The following is a 25,512-nucleotide window of genomic DNA, read 5'->3' as shown; positions in this document are numbered from 1 at the left end:
AGCTCACCTGCTTTTTCTCTCTCTCTGTGGCCATGTAGACACATCAAGGAGGTGGCCTTCCACAAGCTAGGAAGACAGCCCTCAACAGAAACGACCATGCTGGTACCTTAACCTCGGAATTCTAGCCTTCAAAACTGTCAGAAACTAAATTTCTGTTGTTTGAACCACCCAGTCTATGGTATTTTGTTGTGGCACCCTGAGCTAAGACAAGGTCTGTCAAAAGTGGAGTCAAAATAAAGGGATTTCTAGATAAACAAAAGCTGAGAGATTTCTGCCCAACAGAACAGCACTGTAAGACATGTTAAATAAGGCTCTTTAGGCTAAAGGAAAAGGATACCAGATGGAAACTTTATCTACATGAAGTATAATAATTAAGAGCAACAAAAATGATAAATTTGTGAGTAAGTACAAAAGATTTTTCTTCTCACTTCTAAATTTATTTAAAAGACAACTGTTTAATGCAAAAATAATAATTTACGGCCGGGCGCGGTGGCTCACGCCTGTAATCCCAGCACTTTGGGAGGCCGAGACGGGCAGATCATGAGGTCAGGAGATCGAGACCATCCTGGCTAACACGGTGAAACCCCGTCTCTACTAAAAATACAAAAATTAGCCGGGCATGGTGGCGCACGCCTGTAGTCCCAGCTACACGGGAGGCTGAGGCAGGAGAATGGCGTGAACCCGGGAGGCGGAGCTTGCAGTGAGTTGAGATCGCGCCACTGCACTCCAGCCTGGGCGACAGAGCGAAACTCCGTCTCAAAAAAAAAAAAAAAAAAAAAAAAAAAAATTTACTATGAGGTTTATAACAAATATGGAAGTAAAATGTGTGTCAACATTAACACAAAGGACTGGAATGACAAGTGGAAGTACTGTTTTAAGGTTCTTATGTTACATATGAAGTAATACATTATTAGTTCATGGCAGACTATGAAAAGTTAAGGATGCATATTGTAATCCCTAAAGCAACTGTTAAAACAAAAAAGAAAGAAAAAAGAAATCAGATAGGACAAATAGAAAACAAGCAGCAAGATGGTAAATGTAAACCCAATTATATCAATAAATATTTTGCACATAATTTTTTAAACACAAAATTAAAAGACAGAAATTGTCAAACTAAATAAAAAAGTAAGACCCACATATAATCGCAAAGGTCAAACTTTAAATATAAACTCACAAATGAGAATAAGATGTACCATACAAAACTAAGAATAAGAAAACTGAGGCAGTTATATATTATTATCAAATTCGACTTCAGAAAAAGAAACAGCACCAGGATAAAGAGGGACATCACATAAGAATAAAGCAACAACTTATCAAGAACACACAACAATTTTCAATGTTAATGCACCAACCAACAGTAGTTTCAAAATAAGTGAAGCAAAAATGTGATCCAACACACACAGGAAAGATACCAATTATAGTTTGAGACGTTAACTCTTCTCTCTCAAGAACTAACAGAAAATGTGGACAAAAATATTGGTAAAGATATACAAAATGTGAGTAACACTATTAGTCAACTTAAAACTTAATTGAAATTTTTGGAACACCCAACCCAAAAACTGGAGAATGCATATTCTTTCAAAATGTGTATGAAACATTAATCAAGACAGACCATACACTAGGCGATAAAAAAGTCTCAAGAAATCTGAAAATTGAAATCATAGAGTATGTTGCTGACTACAGAATTAAATTTGAAATCAGTAATAATGTAGTTCGCCAAATAAATGATGAAGTACTGTAGATATTTCAGAGGATGATGTTTACCTTGCATTGTTTTGGAAAGGCTTTATAACAAAACAAAAACATAGACTGAATGTAAGAATAGGTAGAAAGTTTCATAACTTCCTCAGATACATTATGCCACAAACTCTGTTATAATGCTTTATAAAATAATAGTAACAGTGGTACTAATGTAGCAGCAGCAGCAATAGTTAATGCTTCTGTAGCACTAACTGCTATGCATTGGCCTAGTATACAGAGATTTGTGATAGAAATCTCATCAACCAGCAATATCCACCAATTTATAGTACAATGATACATAAATTTGTAAGTTGATCCTTAGGATATATATACTAAGCCTTGAAGTACTTCTAAATCAATGTTGCATCATTAATGTATTAAGTATTTTTATTATACTCTAATTCTTAGATATATGGTATTTATCTATTAGGTAGAATTTGCTACATGCCCCCTGTGTCAGAGTCTGAAAAGTATCCACAGAACTAGGCCATGTATATTAAAAATAAAGCCATATCTCTAAAGTTACATTGGTAAAATCTTCTCTAAAAGCATTCTGTATCAATTATCTCTAGGTATCAAAAAATATTTAAAATGTTGATACTTTTTTTTTTTTACATTTTTTGAGATGGGGTCTTGCGATGTTGCCCAGGCTGGTCTTGAACTCCTGGGCTCAGGCAATCCTCCCACCTTGCCACTGCGCCTGGCCTAAAATGTTGATACTAAACCCTTCAATTTAGTAATTCCACTTCAAAGAATTGATACTAAAATAAAGATGTCATCAAAGATTAGACTTAGGTATAAAGATGTTCATTCTAGCATTGCGTATAGTTGCAAAAAATTGTAAACAACCTGCAGTACAAAAACTGCATGATGGCTAAGGTATTATGGTACAGCCATACAATGAAAGATTATACATTCGTTTATAATTATGCTTTTGAATAATTTTAAAGAAATATAGTCACATTATAATAAAGTGAAAAACAGGATAAAAAACTGTAAAACAATTTGTCTTACATATAAATACATTAGATATTAGTGTGTTTAAATATTCATATAAAAAAGAAGTAAATTCACCAAGACTGAGATTAAGGTGATTTTAATTTTCTTCATTATGCTTTCTTCATTTCCAAATTAATGTTTCCACAACATGTACATATTACTATGTTTTTAAAAAATATGTATCTTTTTTATTGGTAGTAAAATTTGATATATTTATGATGTATAATGTGTTTTTTTTTTTTTTTTTTTTTTGAGACAGAGTCTTGCTGTGTCACCCAGGCTGGAGTGCAGTGGCGCCATCTTGGCTCACTGCAACCTCCGCCTTCTGGGTTCAAGCGATTCTGCCTCAGCCTCCCAAGTAGCTGGGACTACAAGCACCCGCCACCACAAGCACCCGCCACCACACCCGGCTAATTTTTTTTTTTTTTTTTTAAATTTTTAGCAGAAAAGGGGTTTCACTATGTTGGCCAAGCTGGTCTTGAACTCCTGATCCACCTGCCTCGGCCTCCCAAAGTGCTGGGATTACAGGTGTGAGCCACCGTGCCCGGCCTCTAATGTGATTTTTGATATGTCTATGCCTTACTATTAAAACCAGTAATTATTATTATTATTATTATTATTATTTTGGAGACAGTCTCACTCGGTTGCCCAAGCTGGAGTAGAGTGGCGCGATCTTAGCTCACTGCAACCTCCGCCTCCCGGGTTCAAGCAATTTTCATGTCTCAGCCGCCTGAGTAGCTGTGACTACAGACACGTGACCCCACGACCAGCTAATGTTTTGTATTTTAGTAGGGACGGGGTTTCACCATGTTGCCCAGGCTGGTCTTGAACTCCTGAGCTCAGGCAATCCACCCACCTCAGCCTCCCAAAGTGCTAGGATTACAGGTTTGAGCCACTGTGCCCAGCCTAAAACCAGTAATTTTTTAATTACACAGGGTTTAATGACCAAATATAATAATAGGAATAAGTACTTTGGAAACTTCCTTGAAGTAATACAGTTACAAATTTCCACCATTAAAAAGAATAAAGAAATTTCTCACTGGAAGGATAATTATATAGCAATACACCTATCTACCAATTAAAGAATTACATAGTTGATTGTCAGAAACTGTATATTGAGAGATAATATCACAGATGATATTAGTGCCACAGGCTGTTAGAAAAGGCAAGTTACATGACAAAAATCATTACCAACTATACATGTACATACGTATACACACATGACTAACACAGGACCACTGTGAAGCCAATATTGTGCTCCAGGGTGCCCTAGAACTTAGTACCTGCACTGCAGATTTGATTCACAAGAATGGGCTCCATAATAATTCAAAACTGATTAAGAATAATAATTATAATTCCAGCTTGCTTCTCTCTCCAGGCTAACAACTCCAAGTAGCAAAAAAAGGAAGAAAAACACTTTTTAGTGAATAATGAACATAATGCGTTATTTATTTATTTATTTTGGAGACAGGGTCTCACTCCGTCACCCAGGCTAGAGTGCAGTGGCATGATCACGCCTCACTGCAACCTCAATCTCCTGAGTATTAATAGTTCAGCTCCTGCCTCAGTCTCCCAGGTAGCTAGGACCACAGGCACGCGCCACTACCCTCGGCTAATTTTTTTTTGGAAGAGACGAGGTTTCCCCATTTGCCTGGGCTGGTCTCAAACTCCTAGGCTCAAGTGATCCTCACAACTAGGCCTCCTAAAGTGCTGGGGTTACAGTTGTGAGCCACTGCATCCAGGCTCTCCTCTTGTTTAGTGTTGGTATTCTCAATTAACTTTCAAAACAAATATAAAAAGGTATATTCATTTTATAAGATGAGGACACTCACAGAGGTTAAATAACTTGCTTCAGGTTATACAGCTAAAAGAAGAGATGACTAAAGATCTAAGGCTATATTTATAATTAGTCCATGATCTTGCCATTATCCCATGTATCTCACTAGAGTGAACATTTCAAATAATGTAATAATGTATAAACCATTTTTCAGTTATTAAATGTTTCTAAAAGTCCTATATATTTACAAAAGAGGAAATATGACAATTTTTAAAAAAGTGCTTAGAGGGTGGGGCACCTTTTGTCTCTCCCACTAGTTTTGATGTTGCTCCTTAGTCATTTTGGGAAAGTGAGAGAAAGAAGAAGAAAGATAAAAGGAACAGAAGTACGGAATAAAAAGAATGGAAGGAAGAAGAAAACGGGCGGTAGAAGAGACAGGGGAGTGGGGGAAAAAATGACGGCCAAAGAATGACTCAGAAAGCCAAAACTAGAGAGAGACAGAAGGGAAGGCAGGAAAAATGAAAAAAATGGAAGGGAATAAGGTGGTATCAGGAAAACACATGTAGCCAGAAAGGGAGAGAGAGATGACCTACAGCTACATAGTCAGCAAAAGACAGAGTGTCAAAAGACAGAGGGGAAAAGCCATACAAACTGTGAAGAGAGATTTCAAGAAGCAGAGAGTAAGAGGGGGGAAAGGAGAGGCAGAACAAGAGGAAGTGCAGTCAAAGTTAAGATGAAGACAGACAACTATCACCATCAACCCATGCCACTGGCAAAAGCAAGGTGCAGAACTCAAATATATTTGAAGCTATCAGCACCAAACTGGTGGACAGCACCTCAGCCAATTTATTCTTATCTTCCTTTACCACTATGACAAATCTTTAACATGTTTTCCCTTGGTGGAGAAGGGGGCAGGGCAGAGAAAGAAGGGCTATGGAGAATTAGAGAGATGAGTTTATTATTCCTGGTCCCAATACTGCCTTTCTCAAAAAGCAATTTCAAATTCAGAAGATTCTTTAATAGAAAAAAAATCACCAAATTGTTATATCGTATATAAAACCTATGCAAAGACAAAAATTAGGTTCCTTCAAATTAAAATGGCAGCAAACTAACCATTTCCTTTGAGCTTCTTTAAAGTTGCCCTTAACCATAATAGCTTAGTAATTTTCTAGCTTTTACAAGTAAATCGGATCAAACCACTTTTCTACTTAGAATTATATAAAGCCTTCTCATTATAATTCAAATAATATTCAAATTTCTTACTATGGGCCTAAAGAGCCTTCTTACCTGATCCAGCTCCTGCCCACATCTCTGATCTCATTTTATATCATTCTCCTCCTTTCTTATTATGTCATATCTTTCCGTCTGTTATTTGACTACTACCAGCTACACTTTTGGTCATTAGCTTTTCCCTTTACTCAAAATGCTCTTACCTTAGATACTCACACAGCTGCTTCTTTCTCATCAATTCAGATCTTAATTCACACAGCACAACATCTCAAAGTGGGTTTCGTTGACTGCCCTACTTAAATGACCCCTATTCCACCCAAACCCCAGCTATTCTCTGTCTCATCACCTAGCTTTGTTTTTTCCATAATATTCATAATCTATGAAAAATACCATAATTATTTATGAATAAAGCTGGCATATGCTTAAGCATGAGAATATAAGCTCTAAGGACATGGTTGTTGTGCTTTGTTCATAGCTACATCCCCAGGGCCTAGAATATGCTAAAAAAAAAAAATTGAATGAATGAAGGAAAGGATAATAATATTTTACATTATAAATAAGAGACAAGTAAAAAAATATCTTGAATGATCTTCACAACTACAGATTGTCCTAGATGAAAACTACTAGATCTAGAGGACTTCTAATCTCAGAGCAACCTAGGCACAGGCTATAGCTGCCATATTTGAATGTTTAAGATATTATAATGCATACTAAATCAGAAATCTTGTTTTAATTCTTTGGATGTCAAATCTTAAACTACCCAATTAGGTTTAAAAATTATCTTTAATGGATACATCTTAATTTACACAATATATACTCAGTAATCACTGGAATAGATGTACATCGGTACACTAATCAGATCCTCAGTTCTTTAAGTTAGCATTCTCAGCCCAACATTTTGGTATATTTCTGTATCCTATATGTTGTTTAGAGAAAGCCAAGTTTATTTTTCATGTCTATTTTATTGGAAGCATTAACATTTTAAAAACCCTCATCAACTAACATGAAATATGCTGAAAGCCTTTAGAAGTAAAGTATTAAACATGAAACAGCAACTGAACAAAAAGCCTATTCACACATTTCTAGAAAAGTATGCCTTATAAAGAAGCAGTTTTGTGGAGACATAGTATACTGCATACAGTAAAGCTTCCATATCACTGCCCTATTTTTCAAACTTCCCCATCTTATAAAACATGAATATCTCACATGCTTGCAGGTGGTATTTTGAAGAGTAGAATAGAAGCAGACACTAGGTCATATAAAATTAGAAAACCTGAACACAGAAATAGAATCAAAGTTTGCTAGTCTCAAATTTTAAAGTCTACGTTCTCCTTTCTTTTGCTCTAATTCTATTCTGAGATACATGATATAAAAAGAAAATATAATTGTCACCAAAAGATACTACTTCTATTTCTTTACCTCCTCTCACCCTACCTTCATTGAGAACTTACTACAAAATGGCAGATATAAGGCTTTAACAAGTTTAAGTATTTGGATTAATTCTTGAGTTATAAACTTATCTGGCAAGCTGGCTAATTCAAGAGCTATAACTTTAAAAACAAAGTACTATTTACTACCAAAAAGACCAAAACAAAACAAAACAAAAAACCCAAAACCAAATTCAAATAGAGTGTAAAATAAAGCATCAGGGATCTATCTGCATACCCTACCATAAATTTGATGGTTTCTTTATAATTATATTCAGTTAAATGAAAAAAATTAGATAAGCAATTTTCAAGGAGATAACATACAGTTTATGTACTTCAAATTCACTAATGAGTAATAGACTAATAATGTATTTTCAGATATAAATGAGTACTCTCTAGAATATGACAAAAAACCTAAACTTAAAATCCAAACAAATGAAATATTATCAATTCTATTTTCTTGAGAGCCAAAGTTTCCTACATAATAACATGCAAGAATTTTAAATTCTTGAAAGCAAGTGTCAAGTACGATACACAATTTCCATACACAGCAGGTAGTAAAGCAAGAAAAGAACTGACACAGTTACTCTGCTTAAAAGAGACACACAATGGAGAACTGTTATACAGCACTAGCATACTACAGGTCTATGCATTAAAGATGTTGTGGCTATTAACAGTTTAAACCTTTACTGTATTTTGCTAATTGGTACATAGAACTTTAAACCTTTTGAAAGATAAAACATTTCAGTCAGTTCAATTCTCCAGTATTGTTCAAGTATTCCAAGTAGGAACAAAGAGGGAAATAAATCTGCTTTAATTGCTGAAGAATCACAGATAATAGAGATGGCTGAATACTGTAGGGGAAAGATCTTTTGTTCCTTAAACAATTTAAATATAGAACGATCATTCTCTAAGTTTTAATGGTTCCTGTCTGTATATAAAAACTGTAATACTTAACATTCATTTTCTTTGTGATATTTAGTACATGTAAGTTTTACACAGCTTGATACTACATAAAAATAGCATTTCAATAAGCATATATTTTAAACAACAAAGTTCTGCAGAATTTTATTTATCTAAAGAATTTAGAAATAATTACATTTGAAAAATAATAACTGACTTGTTTTAATGATCATCATAGTTAAATATAACAGGTTTTAAAATTACATCAAGGAGAGTAGAAAAAATTCATTTTAAATGATTAACTGTTTTGATAAACTTTCAACTATTTAAGAGCATGTTTTATTTATAAACATAAAAAACTTTTAATATTAGTTCATGTTTATAGATACATGTCATGAGACAAAAATATGAAATACAATGTAATAATCTTCCAAACATGTAAAGCAATCACTTTTTATATGATTATTTACTGATTAACTTACACAAAAAGTACAAAAAGAAGAGCTTTCCTTCTAGCTTCAAGAAGTCTTAACATTTTCCATTACTTGAGTCTGGTATTTTTCAAAATCAATCTCTCCTACATACACACATGACAGTACTAAAAAAGGAACAATTAAGGAATGACCATTTCACTATGAAATCTACACTTCCAAAATCACTAGTCATTACTGCTTCCTTAGAATTTTAAGCAACAGTATTGCTGCAATCTTAAAGGCTATTCATCCATTTTTTTTTTTTTCAATAGCTTGTGGGTAGTGTAAAAACTGACACAGGGAAATACATTGTAAAAAAAAAAAAACTATAGTTGCTTTTAAAACAAAATTTATTGCAACAAACATTTATATTTAGTCATGATTCTTCTCTTTTTATATTAGAAGTTTCATCTAAGAATAAAAATAGGCATTTTGTAGGATGAAACACTTGAAGAAACATTATACATATTTAGTGAAAGTCTTAAAGAAAAAAACCCACACGCTAAACTGCCACCATGGTAGGTTCTCAAAGGCTGCTATTCTTTGATGTAAAATGAAATACTACTTAGTGAATAAAACATAAAAAACTCCTGTCTACCCTTCAAAGAGACATATCCTTTGACCCAGTGCTCCAGACTAAAGCCTTGAAATTTTTGCACAAGAATGCTGCGTGAGTAAAGTCCAGACAAAACAGACACTTGAGATGCTAGAAAGCTGTATAACCCCAATCGCAGACACTACTCCTTCCAGTAATCTAGCAGAGATAGCACTGCCATACACCAAAAGAAAGTAATCTCACCAAAAGAAAACTGACCCCTTAGAGGGGGAAAAAAAAAGTAAACAGTCAAAGCAAAAGTAAGCCTTTAACTTAAGGTTATCTTTTTGTGTAGGTCACCTCTTAATGATCAATTTTTAATTCAAGTTTGCAGACTTATATAAGTTTTCATCTATAAACTTTTAGTATGTCAGGAAGAAAAAACAACATAAAACCAACAAATACTTGTACAGCAAACGTAGTTGTTTTATTTTCGAAGACTTGCAAAAACCATTCAATTTTACAAACTTCTTAGAATAAGTTCGAGTAATAAAATGTTTTTAACTATTACAAATTGACAAAAAAATTGTATTAAATAACTTGCTGCTGCTTACAGACATTCTAACACAGCAATATTAAAACCTCATCGGCTGAGCATGCTACCAGTACCGTGTGCTAATTAATCAAACAGCGATTTATTTATTGCAAGCCTCAGCAAGTACCAAAGCTTAAGTGCTGTTTAATTGCTATTTGGAAGAAATTTTCAAGTAGCAAAATACAACCAATTGGCAACATTCAGAATACTGACAACATTTGTTTTACAGGCACACCTGATTTTTAAATAAAGATATTATTAGAGTGCTAAAAATGTCAAAACTATTAGGATTTTACATTAATAGCATTGTGCTATAATTTCTCAAAAAAGTTTTGAAATAATAGATGTCCTTCCTCACTCCACACACTCCCAAAAGATTTAAGTTTTACAGATTGCTAAATAAAAAGTTTCCTTTTTCACATATATTTAAATTGAGGATGCATATCTAACTAACTATACTACCTTTGTAAAAGTTAAAACAGGTGGTGCTTAATAGTTTTTAAACAAAATAACTTAGCATATAAATGAAAACAATGTAAAGTGTCAATACAACACTGAAGCATAGTGCCTGGCATATGTAAGTATTTATTGAATAAATAAACAAAGAATGAAGGAGAGATAGCAGCCAACATAATTTATATAAAAACAATATATGTAATGTCTAAACTATTAAAGCTTATTTTGTGTCATTTTTACTAATAAATTGAAACTACTATATTTTCTGAGGGTATTTTTCTATTTTCTTAGTAATATTTTAACTGTACTAAATAGTTATAGGAATCAGTGTGTAAAAAATGGGCTAAAAAAATGATCAGAAAGCAAATTGAAGGTATACCTATGTAGGACTAATTAATATTTTGGTTGTTTTTTAGGGGAGTACCTACTCAAAATCTTTAAAGAGCATTGCAAATTTAACTTCTCTCTTTTGTATAGCTGAAGTGAATATAAAAAAGACAACATGTTCATTGGACTTGCGTATTCATCAAATGTCCTGAAAGGAGACTGAGGTGGAGGGAGGCATAAAGAAAAAAAAGTTACCCTCATAATAAAGCACAAAGGCAAAGACATTCTTCACCTAACCTCATGGCACAGCTCCTCCTGCAACAAAAACCAAGGGCCAAGCAAACAACCATTTATAAGATCTCCTTAGTATCTGTAGGAAGTATCATATATTAGGAAATAATGGTACAGTCCACAAAAAGTTTTTTTTTTTAAGCATTGTGCTTCTAAACATAAGCTTACAGGATTATTTTCAGATGCTGTCATCTACTCTTTTGATATTTACATTCTTGTTAGTTTCAAGGGTAAAAAGGTTAGCAGTTTATACACAACAAACTAAAATTGACTAATTAGAAACATAGAAAGTACTCTGAGGCCATATTCTTTATTAACAATAATCCAGGATTTGCCACAATTTTATTATCTGAAGATTTGTACTCAACAATGTTAACATTGTATATAGTTCCAAAATGAAAGAATAGATTCTTGCACTAGAAAATGCTAAGCAGACTTTTCCTTTCTACATTTTATGCCTAAAAAAAAGATAAGATACATGTTGTTGATACATAATTGATGCCCAGAAAAAAAAAAAAACCACAAGTTTTTCTTTGTACTTGTATTAGCACTGACATCCACAAAGTACTATGAAAATTCTTGTAATTTATTGTATACTGTATAGAAAATTCTAAAATGTAACAGTAAAAAAATAAAATAAGCTTTACTGGGTAAGATGTCCTATGAGTGACTCTGTGAATATGTTAAAAATAATGATCATATACTAAAGATGGATGAAAAGAAACACGACTTGATAACAGCACACAAAAGAGAGAATCTGAGGTTTTAGCTCTCCATGAAATCCACATAAGTATGACAACCTAAATTTAAAGTTGCCTTACTAGAACTGCGATGATTAAAAGGAATAAAGGCAATAATCCCCACCACAACCTGCACCACATCTGTAGTATGAAAAATTCTGGCAAAAACATTTTAAAAGAGATTCAAACTGGATGGCAATCAAGATGATTAATTAACTGGAACTCATATGAAATAAATCAAAGCCCTGGCGATGTTTAACCCAGAAAAGAGAAGACTTAGGAGAATGATTCGCAAGCTTTTTGATGTTGAGATTCCTTTATACTGTTAAAAACTACTGGGACTCCAAGGTTTTGTTTATAAAAGATACAGGCATACCTCATTTTATGAACTTTGCTTTACTGTGCTTCACAGATTAATGGTGCTTCTTTTTTTTTGTTTTTTTATGTTTTTGTTTTTTCAAATTTAAGGATTCTGGCAACCCTCTGTTGAGGTCTACTGGTGTGTGCTCATTTCAAGTCTTTGTGTCACATTTTGACAATTCTCCCAATATTTCAAACTTTTGCATTGTATGTGTTATGGTGCTCTGTGATCCGTGATCTTTGATGTTACTATTGTAATTGTTTTGGGGTGCCACAAACTGCGTCCATATTAGATAGCAAACTAAATTAATAAAGGTTGTGTGTGTCCTCCACTGACAAGCCATTTCCTCGTACCTCACCCTTTCCTTGGGCCTCTCTATTCACTGAGACAACAATATTGAAATTAGGCCAGTTAATAACCCAACAATAAGAGTTCAAGTGAAAGGAAGAGTCTCATGTCTCTCACTTTAAGTAAAAATTTAGAAATGATTAAGCTAGGTGAAGAAGGCATGTCAAAAACCTAGACAGACCAAAAGCCAGGCCTCTTGCACCAAACAGCCAAGTTGTGAATGCAAAGGAAAAGTTATTGAGGAAAATTAAAAATGCTATTCCAGTGAACACATGAATGATAAGAAGGCTAAAGAGACAGCCTTATTGCTAACTGGAGAAAGTTTCAGTGGATAGAAGATCAAACCAGCTACAACATTCCCTTAATTCAAAGTCTAATCTAGAGCCAGGAGCCCTAAGTCTCTTCAATTCTTTGAAGACTGAGAGGGGAGGAAAGCAGAGGTTGGCTCATGAGGTCTAAGGAGGAAGCCATCTATATAATATAAAAGTGCAAGGTGAAGGCCCAAGTGCTGACAGAGAAGCCACAGCAAGTGATCCAGAAGATCTAGATAAGATAACTGATAAAGGTGGCTATACTAAACAATAGATTTTCAATGTACAGCCTTGTATCAGAAGAAGATGCCAGCTAGGACTTTCATAGCTAGAGAGAAGTCAACGCCTGGCTTCAAAGCTTCAAAGGACAGGCTGACTCTTAGAGGCTAATGCAATTCCGGTGCTCACTGACCATTCTGAAAACCCTAGGGCCCTTAAGAATTATGCTAAATCTCTTCTGCCTCTGCTCTATAAATGAATAACAAAGCCTGGATGGCAACACAGTTGTTTACAGCATGGTTTACTAAATATTTTATGCCCAGTGTCAATATCTACTGCTCAGAAAAAAAGATTATTTTCAAAATATTACTGCTCACTGACCATGCACCTGGTCACCCAAGATGGAGATGTACAAGGGTGTCGCTTTCATGCCTGCTAACACAACATCCACTCTGCAGCCCGTGGACCAAGGAGTAATTTTGACTTTTGAGTCTTATTATTTAGGAAACACATTTCATAAGGCTATAGCTACCATAGTGATTCCTCTGATGGATCTGAACAAAGTAAATTGAAAACCTTCCGGAAAGGATTCCCCATTCAAGATGCCACTAAGAACATTTGTGACTCATAGGAGATGAAAATAGCAACATTAGCACGCGTTTGAAAGAAACTGAGTCCAAAACCTTAAACTGGGAGAACCTTAGTCCCCTCTCTTTCCTCTTCCTCCTCCACTTCCCACTTATTGTCACCTTGTAATATTCAGAGAGCACCTAGATTATGGATCTGAATAGAGAAATGCTTACAGATAATCATTAGCCCACATGCCAGTAACTTATACTTAAACATGGGATGGAGTTGTAAAGTGCTTTTATAATACAATACAATTGTTAAAGGCAAGAGTTGAATCTTTGTTTTATTTTGACATGGCATGTCCTGAAATAAATATTGATTCAATATGGGAAAACAAAAACAAAAAAGAAAGAAGTTGAATCCAACCCTCATGAATGACTTTGAAGGATCTAAGACTTTAGTGGAGGAAGTCACTGCAGATGTGGTGGGTGGAGCCTAAACAAGTGATTAAATTGCTACAATCTCATGATTAAACTGGAACAAATCAGAAGTTGCTTCTCATGCATGAGCTAAGTCGTTTCTTGAGACAGAATCTACTCCTGATAAAGACTGTGAACGTTGCTGAAATGACAACAAAGGATTTAGATTATTCCATAAACTTAGTTGATAAAGCAGCAGTGGGGTTTAAGAGGCTTGATTCCAATTTTGAAAGAAGTTCCACTGTGAGTAAAATGATATCAAACAGTGTCACATGCTACAGAGAAATTTTTCATGAAAGGAAGGGTCAATCAGTGTGTCAGAGTTCACTGTTGTCTTATTTTAAGAAATTACCACAGCCACCCCAACCTTCAGCAACCACCACCATGGAGGCAAGACCTTCCACCAGTCAAATGATTACGATTCCCTAAAGGCTCAGCTGATCGTTAGCATTTTTGAGCAATAAAGTGTTTTAAAATTAAGGTATGTACATTATTTTTTAGACATAATGCTAATGCACACTTAGCAGACCTCAGTGTGGTAGAAACATAACTTTTATATGCACTGGGAAGCCAAAACAAAATTTCATGACTCACTTTATTGTGGCATTTGCTTAACTGTGGTGGTCTGGAACCAAACCAGCAATATCTTCAAAGTATGCCTGTATATCCATAAATATCTATCACATAATAAATTAAAATGAAGAAAACAATATAAATTTAATGTAAAATAAGCCAGTTATGTAATAATATAAAGATTTTAATTTAAAAAACTCTATTTTTGAAAACTGAAAAGTGAGAAGAGTGGCACTCATTTGCATTTTGGCACTCGTTTGAAAATCTACTATCTAGCTTAATGGAGGACAGCTGAATTCTAACATCTGTTCTTGCATTCAAACTGTTTTGGTGGATTGTTTTTATTGCAATATATGAAGAAAACTCATTATCATACAGATATGTAGTTAGAAAAAGGAGCAAAATATTCATAGCCTTAATATTTTCATACTTGATTACTTAAAATCCATTGCTCTATTTTGTACTTTAAAGGAAACTTTTACCCATGCATGATTTTATATCATGCACTGGTCATACGAAAAATACTAGTTCATAGAGGTATATAGATATTCCAAACGTTAATATATTGCATTACACAGTATCAAAAATCACATCCGTTAGTGTCATTACCAATCCCACTAGAACAGTCTTTTTTTTCTTTTTTTTACAGAATTTCAATTTTTAATTTTAGATTCAAGAGGTACATGTGCATGTTTGTTACCTGGGTATATTTTGTGATGCTGAGATTTGTGGCAGATAAATCCCATCAACCAAGTATTGAGCATAGTACACAATGTTAGAATTTTTATAGAACTTAATTCTGCCATGGATGTGATTGAGCTTGACATCTTTCTAGTATTTAAAGACCGTTCTGGGAAGGAGAGATGGGCACAACGGTTGAAAAACTATCACTGCGCTTGAAGTGTATCATGGGCAACACCTCCTTGAAGTGACAGGTTCATTTTCAAGAAAATGTCTGCCATGTACCAAAGATAATAACCAATTGATTTCAGCTGGAAAACCATAGTGACATTCTGGTCTGATCTACAGTCAGGCCTCCATATCTGTGCCTTCTGTATTGTGGATTAAATCAACTGCAGGTAAAAAATATTTGAAAAAAGAAAAAGTATGGTTGTATTTGTACTGAACGTATACCTCCTTTTTTCTTGTCATTATTCTCTAAACAGTACAATATAACAGTTACACTGTATTAGGTATTGTAAGTAATCTAGAGATGATTTAAAGTATATGGGAGAATATGCATAGGTTATATGCAAATACTATGCCATTTGATATAAGACTTGATACAGTTTGCATATTTGTCCCTGCCCAACTCTCATGTTGAAATGTAATCCTCAATGTTGAAAGTGGGGACGGATGTGAGGTGATTAGGTTATGGAGGCAGATCTCTCATGCAGAGCTTAGTGCTGTCTTAGTGATAGTCAGTTCTTATGGGATCTGGTTATTTAAAAGTGTATGGCAGTGGGCACGGTGACTCATGCCTGTAATCCCAGCACTTCGGGAGGCCGAGGCAGGTGGATTACCTGAGGTCAGGAGTTTGAGGCCAGCCTGGCCAACAGGGTGAAACCGTCTCTACTAAAAGTACAAAAACTAGCCAGGCGTGGTGGCGGGCACCTGTAATCCTAGGTACTCGGGAGGCTGAGGCATAAGAATCACTTGAACTGGGAGGCGGAGGTAGCAGTGAGCCGAGATCGCGCCGCTGCACTCCAGCCTGGATGACAGAAAGTGTATGGCACCACCCTGTCCCTTGCACCTGCTTTTGTCATATGATGTGCCTGCTCCCACTTCACCTTCCACCATGAGTAAAAGGTCCCCTAAGGCCTCCTCACAAGCCGAGCAATGCTGGTGCCATGCTTGTGCAGCCTGCAGGACCATGAGCCAATTAAACTTCTTTTCTTTATAAATTACCCAATCTCAGGTTTTGTTTTGTTTTGTTTTTTGAGACAGAGTCTCGCTCTGTCACCTAGGCTGGAGTGCAGTGGCGCCATCTCCACTCACTGCAAGCTCCGCCTCCCAGGTTCACACCATTCTCCTGCCTCAGCCTCCTGAGTAGCTGGGACTACAGGCGCCCACCACCATGCCCGGCTAATTTTTTTTTTTTTTTTTTTTTGAGACGGAGTCTCGCTCTATCGCCCAGGCCGGAGTGCAGTGGCGCAATCTTGGCTCACTGCAAGCTCTGCCTCCCAGGTTCACGCCATTCTCCTGCCTCAGCCTCCTCAGCAGCTGGGACTACAGACACACACCGCCACGCCCAGCAAATTTTTTGTATTTTTGGTAGAGATGAGGTTTCACCATGTTAGCCAGGATGGTCTCGATCTCCTGACCTTGTGATCTGCCCGCCTCAGCCTCCCAAAGTGCTGGGATTACAGGCACGAGCCACTGCGTCCCACCTCAGGTATTTCTTTATAACAATATGAGAACAGTCTAACACAGGTCTTAAGCATCCACGGATTTTGGTACTTGAGGGGAGTCCTAGAACCAATCCCCTTACAGGTACTGAGGGACAACTATTACTTCAAGAAAGGTATAACAAAGCTGGGGAAAATCTAGGTAGGGCAAGAAAATTCAACAGTATGCAACCGATTTTATGACATATAATTAAAAATACCAAACCAATCCAGTCTGTCTACCTCTCTTGTATGCTTCATAGCACTCTGTTTAGGGCAATGTATTACTGGCTGACTCACTCATTCTTCAAACTAGAAAGAAGAGAACTTAGAAGAGTTATTAGTGAACTCTAAAATTTGAAAACTTTATAGAAAAGGCAACCTCCTGAGAGTTAAAAAAAGATGCTCATAGGAAAAATTAAAATAATAGTGCTCTCATTAATGAACACACAGGATGTGAAAATCATCCTCACTTCATACACACATAACTGCCTCATTTCTTTTGTTTTGTTTTTCAGACTGAGTTTCACTCTTGTTGCCCAGGCTGGAGAGTAATGGTGCGATCTCGGCTCCCTGCAACCTCCACCTCCCAGGTTCAAGCGATTCTCCTGCCTCAGCCTCCTGAGTAGCTGAGATTACAGGCACCCGCCACCACGCCCAGCTAATTTTTTGTATTTTTAGTAGAGACGGGGTATCACCATGTTGGTCAAGCTGGTCACGAACTCCTGACCTCGTGATCCACCCGCCTCAGCCTCCCAAAGTGCTGGGATTACAGGCATGAGCCACCATGCCCTGCCCCTCATTTCTTTTATACTTGACTAAGCAAGTGGTGTTTGATTACCATTTGAAGAATAGGTAGATGGTGACCGGATGAAGTCCTCAGGATTAGTTAAAATGCATCCAGGTAGAGTGAACAGGAACTCCAAATGCCTTGAAGCAGGAAAAAGAGTAGCAAGTTCCAGGCTTGGTGTGGCTAGACCACAGAATGTAAAACACAGTGGTACAAGATAAACCTAGAGAGGAAGGCAGGAGCTAAATCAGGCAAGACGTCAAAGACCATGTTAGGATTTTAGTGTTTACTCTAAGGGCAACAGGAAGCACCAAAGGACGAAAAGAGGGTGACAATACCAGCATTTCAAAGACTATTTTGGCATCCTAAGGAAAATTAATCAGATTAGGATTAAAGAGTCTAGGGAGATCAGGTCAAAGACTACTGTAGAAATCTAGGTGAAAGATGATGTAACCTAGATCAGGATGATGACAATGTCAGTAGGTAAACTGAAGAGATAATTTTAAAATAAAACCAGTCAGCACAAGATGTGAATTTTCCAAACTGTCTCTATTTACTTATACATTTATTTGTCTGTATCTTTAATGGTGCAAATAGAAATTTAAGTGTGACCTATTACTTAGATTGGGCTTACAGGCTCAAAGTTGAGTGATAAAATACTGTACAATAATAAAGGGGGTAGTTAAGAAACACTGATAATGGTAAACCAGATATAAAATGAAAAGCACACATATACAATTACTCATTTCTATCAGAAGTTTTGGAAACATTACAAAATGTATGCTATTGAAGCATAAATATAAAGTTGCATGTAAAGTAACAGACCACACTCTAAAATATTTTATAAGTGATGGCTGCCAAAATTCTGTTTGTTACTGATTCACAAAACATTATTACTCATTTGTTGCTGGTCTTGCTAGTTGTTTGCTAGTTGCTTGCTAGTTATTTCTTCATACATATGAAGAAATAAAATGTGTGTGTATGTGTTTGTATGCATATACATATATACATATAGTGATAATAAATGTTGCATGCTTCCAAGAAAACCTAATATATTTAGTTTTAGATAGTACTAGCAAGTATCTCACAACTTAAATAGGAGTGTAACTGAGAAAATAAAAAGCAAAACATTCATTACAAAAAGTAATGAATGTTCTGCTAGTTATAAACACCACAAAAATGAAAACCTTTCATAATTTTAATTTATTAATATTTGCATATGGTTTTGTATTTGTTTATAATGCTTAATATAAATTATCTTTTGATGACAAATATTTCTTCTTAAAATTTAGGTATAATCTAGAAATTCAAATTCAAATCACTTTCCTGAAAACCTGGAACACCATACTGAATATCTATAGTACAAAAATAACCCTGAAGGCAGAACCATAGCAGTGTGTAGTAGAAAATCCTTACCAATTTTTCATCAACTGTTATGAGTTGTGTGTCTTGAGTCTGGTCCTGTGCCAATCTCCATGTGGAAGTCCTCAACGACCTGCAGTGCAAGACTTTAAGTTAAAAAAGGATCCAGGCAATGAGAGGAGAGACAGACAAATCTTACATAAACAAGCTACTTTAACAATATCTGTCTTATTAAAAAAAAAAAAAAAGGAAAGGAAAGAAAGAGAAGAGGGCACAAAAGTCCTTTTTCTCTGCAATTAGTTCTGTCTGCTGAGTTTTTGGCAGACTCACTTGACAGTTCACAACAGGCTGCGCTTTACGTCAGTCTTCAGGCTCTCTGTCACAGAAAGGCCACCAGTGACAAGTACTGTACTGCTGTCTATGAGTGTACAGTGGCTGATTTGTCACGACCAGCCAGAAACATGCAAAGCTATACCAATTGTTCTGGAACACTGATTCTTAAACGGATGGCATCAGAAACGAAAAGAAAAAAATCCCAATCATAATAAAAAGTTTATTCACTCTAATTTCACACCAAAAGTATTTTACATAGGAATGATTTGTATAACTAATGTTATTAGTTTAGTCCTGTAGCCCATTCACAAAATGGGAGAAATAAAATTAGTTAAAATGAAAATATTAAGTTAGACGTAAAATGGGCAGAGAATCTAGCCCCTTTATATTAGCATTTTCCTACTCTCACTCCAATTACTTAACGTTAACGGACGTTTCATGTACACTTTGTTGTTTATACTACTGAATGTCATACATATCCCTGACTGTGCTGTGACATTTTAGCATCTTAAGAGTTTTCCAAACTATTAGGCTATCTGACATAGATTTCTATTGCAAAAGTAAGTATACACAACTGTGGCTCAAATTTCCACCCCAAATATATGGCATTTGGTCCTTTCTTTTTTTTAATACAATATATTCACTACCATAGTTTTAATGCAACATAATAACCAATAATTGACAAAAATAACTGATACAAATAGTTGAACTTTTTGTGCTAAAAGTTCAATTTTGATAATGTGTACACAGCCATATAGAAAACCTTCTTAATTATAATTTAAAGATAACATAATACAAGAGGTTTTACTGCTTTATGAATATACTTTAAAATATCTGTCAATTATTTACCAAATTTAAGGTATTATGTAATTCTTTATCACTGTAAATGCCCCACTCAGAAATATACCTACACAAAATGTACTAACATGGAAATAACTCTAGATGATTTACACAAAGTTAAAATACATGTCCTGGTTGTTATATTAAAGAAGTATAATTAAGCAACTCTTAATACCTATTTTATTTTGGAAATCATTAAGGTCAGTAACATGGCAATTAAAAAATTTAAATACTTTTAAACAAATCCACATATTACAAGAAAAACATTGGGTAATGATAAGTGAACTCATGAGAATCTGAAATATCAGAAAATGTTATCACATTTTCTAAATGCAGTAAGTAGCTCCCCCTCATCCTTGTACGATACATTTTAAGACGCCCAGTGGATGCCTAAAATTGTTAATAGAACTGAACCCTACATACACTGTTTTTTCTAATACATACACACCTATGATAAAGTTTACTTTACAAATTAGGCAGTAATAAATTAACAATAACTAATAATAAAACAGATCAATTAAGTAAAATAAAGGTTACTTGAACACAAGCACTGCAATACTGAGACGGTCAATCTTATCACCAAGATGGCTACTAAGTTCTGACTAACGCAGGTATCCTATACAACCTGGATACACTAGACAAAGGGATGATTCACATCCTGGGTGAGACAGAGCTGGACGGCATGAGATTTCATCACACTACTCAGAATGGAGCAAATATTAAATTCATAAATTGTTTGTTTTGGGAATTTTCCACTGCATATTTTTGGACCACAGCTGACCGTGGGTAACTAAAACCGTGAAAAGCTACACTATATTTTCTCAAATGAAGAGACCTGTTAGATGAAAACAGTGCAAATTATTAGGTAGATTAAAACTCTGTACCCATTTTGTGCAATTTTTTACTACAAAGGGGATTTAACTTAAAACGATTATGTCCTAATTGTTTAAGAAAATCTTAGTATATATTAGTTGTAATCCAAAGTAAAGTTCTTAATTTATAAAACCATATATAATTTACTTTAAGGATAGGTTTATTTTAATAATTTTAGGTTAACCTCCAACTAATTGTAATAATAAAGTTATATAACATCTTTTGTAAACATGTGTAGCCGGGCGCGGTGGCTCATGCCTATAATCCCAGCACTTTGGGAGGCTGAGGCGGGCGGATCACAAGGTCAGGAGATGGATACCATCCTGGCTAACACGGTGAAACCCCGTCTCTACTAAAAATACAAAAAATTAGCCGGGCGTAGCAGCGGGCCCCTGTAGTCGCAGCTACTCGGAGGCTGAGGCAGGAGAATGGCGTGAACCTGGGAGGCGGAGCTTGCAGTGAGCTGAGATCGCGCCACTGCACTCCAGCCTGGGCGACAGAGCAAGACTCCGTCTCAAAAAAAAAAAAAAAAAAATTTATTATAAACAAACGCACTGATAAAAATTTATATCAAGCTGTATGTAAAAGATAATACAATAAAAAGGACAAAAATGTTAAGTAAAACAATCCTACCATAAAGTTACAGTAAAAATTTTTTGTAAAAAAATTTAAGATAGGTTAGATTGCAAAGAGTGATTTTAATTTTTATGTAAAACAATAATTATTTCAGAAAAATTTGCCTAAATTAAAACGTGTGCTTGTGTAAGTTATATCATGTGATAAGAAACTACCCTCTAAGCAGAAAACAATTATTAAAGGACTCAAATATCAGATGTGGAGAAAAGTTTTTCTCCAATTCTGGACAGTTAAGGTAGCAACGAAGGTCCACAGTCAATTATGAACACAGCATTTAATAAATTATACCTACCGGGCTGGGCGCAGTGGCTCACGCCTGTAATCCCAGCACTTCAGGAAGCTGAGGTGGGTGGATCACCTGAGGTCAGGAGTTCGAGACCAGTCTGGCCAACATGACAAAACCCCACCTCTACTAAAAATACAAAAATTAGCTGGGCTTGGTGGGGCATGCCTGTAGTCCCAGCTACTCAGGAGGTTGAGGCAGGAGAATCTCTTGAACCTGGAGGCAGAGGTTGCAATGAGCCGAGATCGCACCACTGCACTCCAGCCTGGGCAACAAAGTGAGACACTGTCTCAAAAAATGAATAAACAAAAAATAAAAATAGGCCGGGCGGGCCGGCTCACACCTGTAATCCCAGCACTTTGGGAGGCCGAGGATGGCGGATCACCTAAGTTCAGGAGTTCCAGACCAACCTGACCAACGTGGAGAAACCCAGTCTCCACTAAAAATACAAAATTAGCTGGGCGTGGTGGTGCATGCCTGTAACCCCAGCTACTCGGGAGGCTGAGATAGGAGAATCACTTGAACCCGGGAGGTGGAGGCTGCAGTGAGCTGAGATCGTGCCATTGCACTCCAGCCTGGGCAACAAAGAATGAAACTCCGTCTCAAAAAATAATAATAAAATAAATAAATAAATAAAAATTATACCTACAAAGTATAATCTATAGTAAATTTTAGACTACACATGAATTATACAGTAAATATCTGTTTGTTGATTAGCCTGTAAGGAATGTCACATCAGTGAAATGGTAGATGGAAGGAAAATATTAAGAGTACAAAAACCTTGTTAAGAAAAAAAGATATAAAGCCTAGAAAGCATAAAGGAAAAAATGACAGAAGCTATTACATAAAACCAAAAACATCAAAACTAAATATACTGTAAGTGAAGTGTAAGACAGACAAGAAGAAAATAATACAAAATAGAACAGTAAGGAATCAACATCTAAAAGAGGTAAAAGAACTTGTACAAGTAAGTAGGGGGTCATTTCTAAATTTTAAAAGAAGAACTCAAACAGCAACAAAACAACCCAATTAGAAATGGGGAAAACACCTAAATAAACATTTATCCAAAAAAGATATACAAATGGCTAATGAGCACATGAAATGATGCTCAACAGAACTAATTAGAGCAATGCAAATCAAAACACAATGAGGTAGCATTTTACACCCTTTTACAACATTTTAGTATATAAAAACAGAAAATAAGTATTAACAGAAACGTATAGAAATTGGTACCCTTATGGGAATGTAAAATGGTACTACCACTATGGAAAATGGTATGGCAGTTTCTCAAAAAGTAAACAGAATTATCCTATGATCCAACAATTCCATTACTGAGTATATACCTAAAAGAACTAAAAGTGAAGACTCAAATAAATATTTGTACACCAATGTTTATAGCAGCATTTTTCAAATAGCCAAAAGCAAAAACAGCCAAAATATTAATAATCATATTTTACTGGGCAATGTACCCAGTAAAACAGTGTTCTCAGTAGTAAGTGTTCATGTAGAAACAATGACTAATGTGTAATCATTAGAAAATAAATGGTAATTTTACTCACTCTGCTGTTTAATATTCATTTTTGACAAACTTAAAAACATTCTTTGCCTCATGGGTTTGCCTTTATTTTTGTCCATCTATTTGTTTTGTTAATTGGCCTGCTCACATTTCCAGGTTTGTAAAGTATCATTCTTAATTCTCAGCCCAAAGGATAAACTCTGAGGGTTGTGATTGTGATTATTAATTACCATTACTGGTCAAGGTAATTATAAGCGTACAAGCCATTTATTCTGTTTTTCTGTATAAGTTTCCTGAAAGAAAAAGAGATATCCTGAAAATGAAAATCAATAAACTTTATTTCTAATCCTGGTTTTTATCAATAAACCTTATTTCTAACTCTGGTTAAGTAAAACAGTTTGGTGAGATTTTTGTCTTTTTTATTGTGTTGTCTTTTACATACAGCTTGATAACAATATGAGATAAATTTTTATCAGTATATTTATTTATATAAACATCTTTTGCTGTAGATGAGAAAATCTCAACTCCTCTGCCTTTATATTTTATTTTTTGAAAACATAAAATGAGGAACTTGTTGCTCTAAAGTTTCTTCTAGTGATGACAGTCTATTTGATTCTAGTAAGTGGAACTGACGATAGTTCTACTTTGTTTTAATAAACCCGTGGAAATCCTATGCAAGAATCACCCAACTCACATAATAATCTGTTTTTCTTTAAAAAAATCTTTCAAAACCATACATATACACATTTTCTTTCTTTCTTCATCCACTGATGAACATTGGGGTTATTTTGCTAAAAACATTCATGTGCAGGTTTTTGTGTGGACATTAAATTTGCCACTTGTTTGGGTAAATACCCAGGAGCACAACTGCTGATCATACGTTAAGACTATGTTTTAGCTTTGTAGGAAACTGCCAGACTCTTCCAAAGTGCTGTACCATTTTGCATTGTCACCAACAATAAATGAGACTTCTTGCTCTCTTCATCCTTGCCAGCATTTGGTGTGGTCAGTATTTTGGATTGCAGTCGTTCTAACAGGTGTGTAGTACTATTTCATTGTTGTTTTAATTTGTAATTCCCGAATGACATATGACGTTGAACATATTTTCATATGATTATTAGTCATCTGTATATCTTCTTTGGTGAGTTATCTGCTTAGATCTTTTGCCCACTTTTTAATTGGGTTGCTTGTTTTCTTATTGTTGAATTTTAAGAATTATTTGTTAACTGTAGATATAGTTCTTTATGAGATACGTGTTTTGCAAATATATCTTCCTAGTCTGTGGCTTGTCCTTTCATTCTCTTTAGAGTGTCTTTCACAGAGCAGAAGCTTTTAATCTTAATGAAGCCTAACTGATGCATTTTTCGTTCATGGATGATGCTTAGCGTCTTCCTATCCATGTATCCATTAGGATCTTCTTTGATATCCTTCCTCAGAGTTTTCTAATTTTCTTCATATAGATCTTGTAAATATTGTTTTTAACACTTCAAAATACACTTTTCAAAAAGTCTTAAACAGTGAAGATTTTTAAAACATTACACTGAAAAATAGTATCTAAACAACACTACTGACCCAACGTACTAATACTATGTCCCTTTTGAAACTACCTATCAACTAAGAATAATTTAGTAAAATTCCCATATTCCTTGTAGCAGTTTGAAACTGTGACTCCAAATTTCTTTGACGCTCCTCCCTCCCATTAAGAGCTGAAGTCTGTATCCTGTTCTCCTAAAATCGGAGCTCTGTGATTCCTTGATCAATATGAGAAAGTTAAACTGAGGTTATGTGTGTTTCCAGCATCAGACCTTAAGAAACTATCTGTTTTCACTCCCTGTCTCTTAGAATATTGTTTCTTAGGATGTTTCACTTTTGGAACCCAGCCACCAAGTTGTAAAAAAGACCAAGCTGTCCCACAGAGAGGTCCTTGTGAAGAGGAATTGACAGCCAATAGCACTTTGCCAGCCATGTGGGTGAGGTATGTTGGACATGAAACCTCTAGTGGAAGTTGAGCTATCCCAGCAGACACCACATGGAGCAGACAAACTTCCCTGGCAAAACCTGCCCAAATTGTACATTTGTAAGCAAAACAGAAGACTACTGTTGTTTTAAGCAACTATTGGGATGGTCTGTGTCCAGCT

At 35.3% G+C, this 25,512-nt stretch overlaps 1 protein-coding gene across 5 annotated transcripts in view; it reads right to left on the bottom strand.

The window, feature by feature from the left end:
* Window positions 1-25,512, bottom strand: part of NDUFS4 (NADH:ubiquinone oxidoreductase subunit S4) — a 122,700-nt gene that overhangs the window by 60,861 nt on the left and 36,327 nt on the right. For 3 of the 5 annotated variants that reach the window (NR_134475.2, NM_002495.4, NM_001318051.2), the window contains one exon: window positions 18,948-19,026. Coding sequence is in view for 2 of the 5 variants with exons in the window: in NM_002495.4 (NP_002486.1) it covers window positions 18,948-19,026 (79 nt within the window). In the remaining 3 variants the exon portion in view is untranslated. Of the gene's footprint in view, window positions 1-17,582; window positions 17,755-18,947; window positions 19,027-25,512 lie in introns of all 5 variants that reach the window. The other 2 variants (NR_134473.2, NR_134474.2) reach the window with 2 other exon arrangements.

This window comes from Homo sapiens, chromosome 5 (assembly GCF_000001405.40).
Source record: "Homo sapiens chromosome 5, GRCh38.p14 Primary Assembly".
Lineage (NCBI taxonomy): Eukaryota > Metazoa > Chordata > Mammalia > Primates > Hominidae > Homo > Homo sapiens.
Note: the sequence above shows the minus strand (reverse complement) of the source record. Positions and strands in the feature narration are given on the sequence as shown.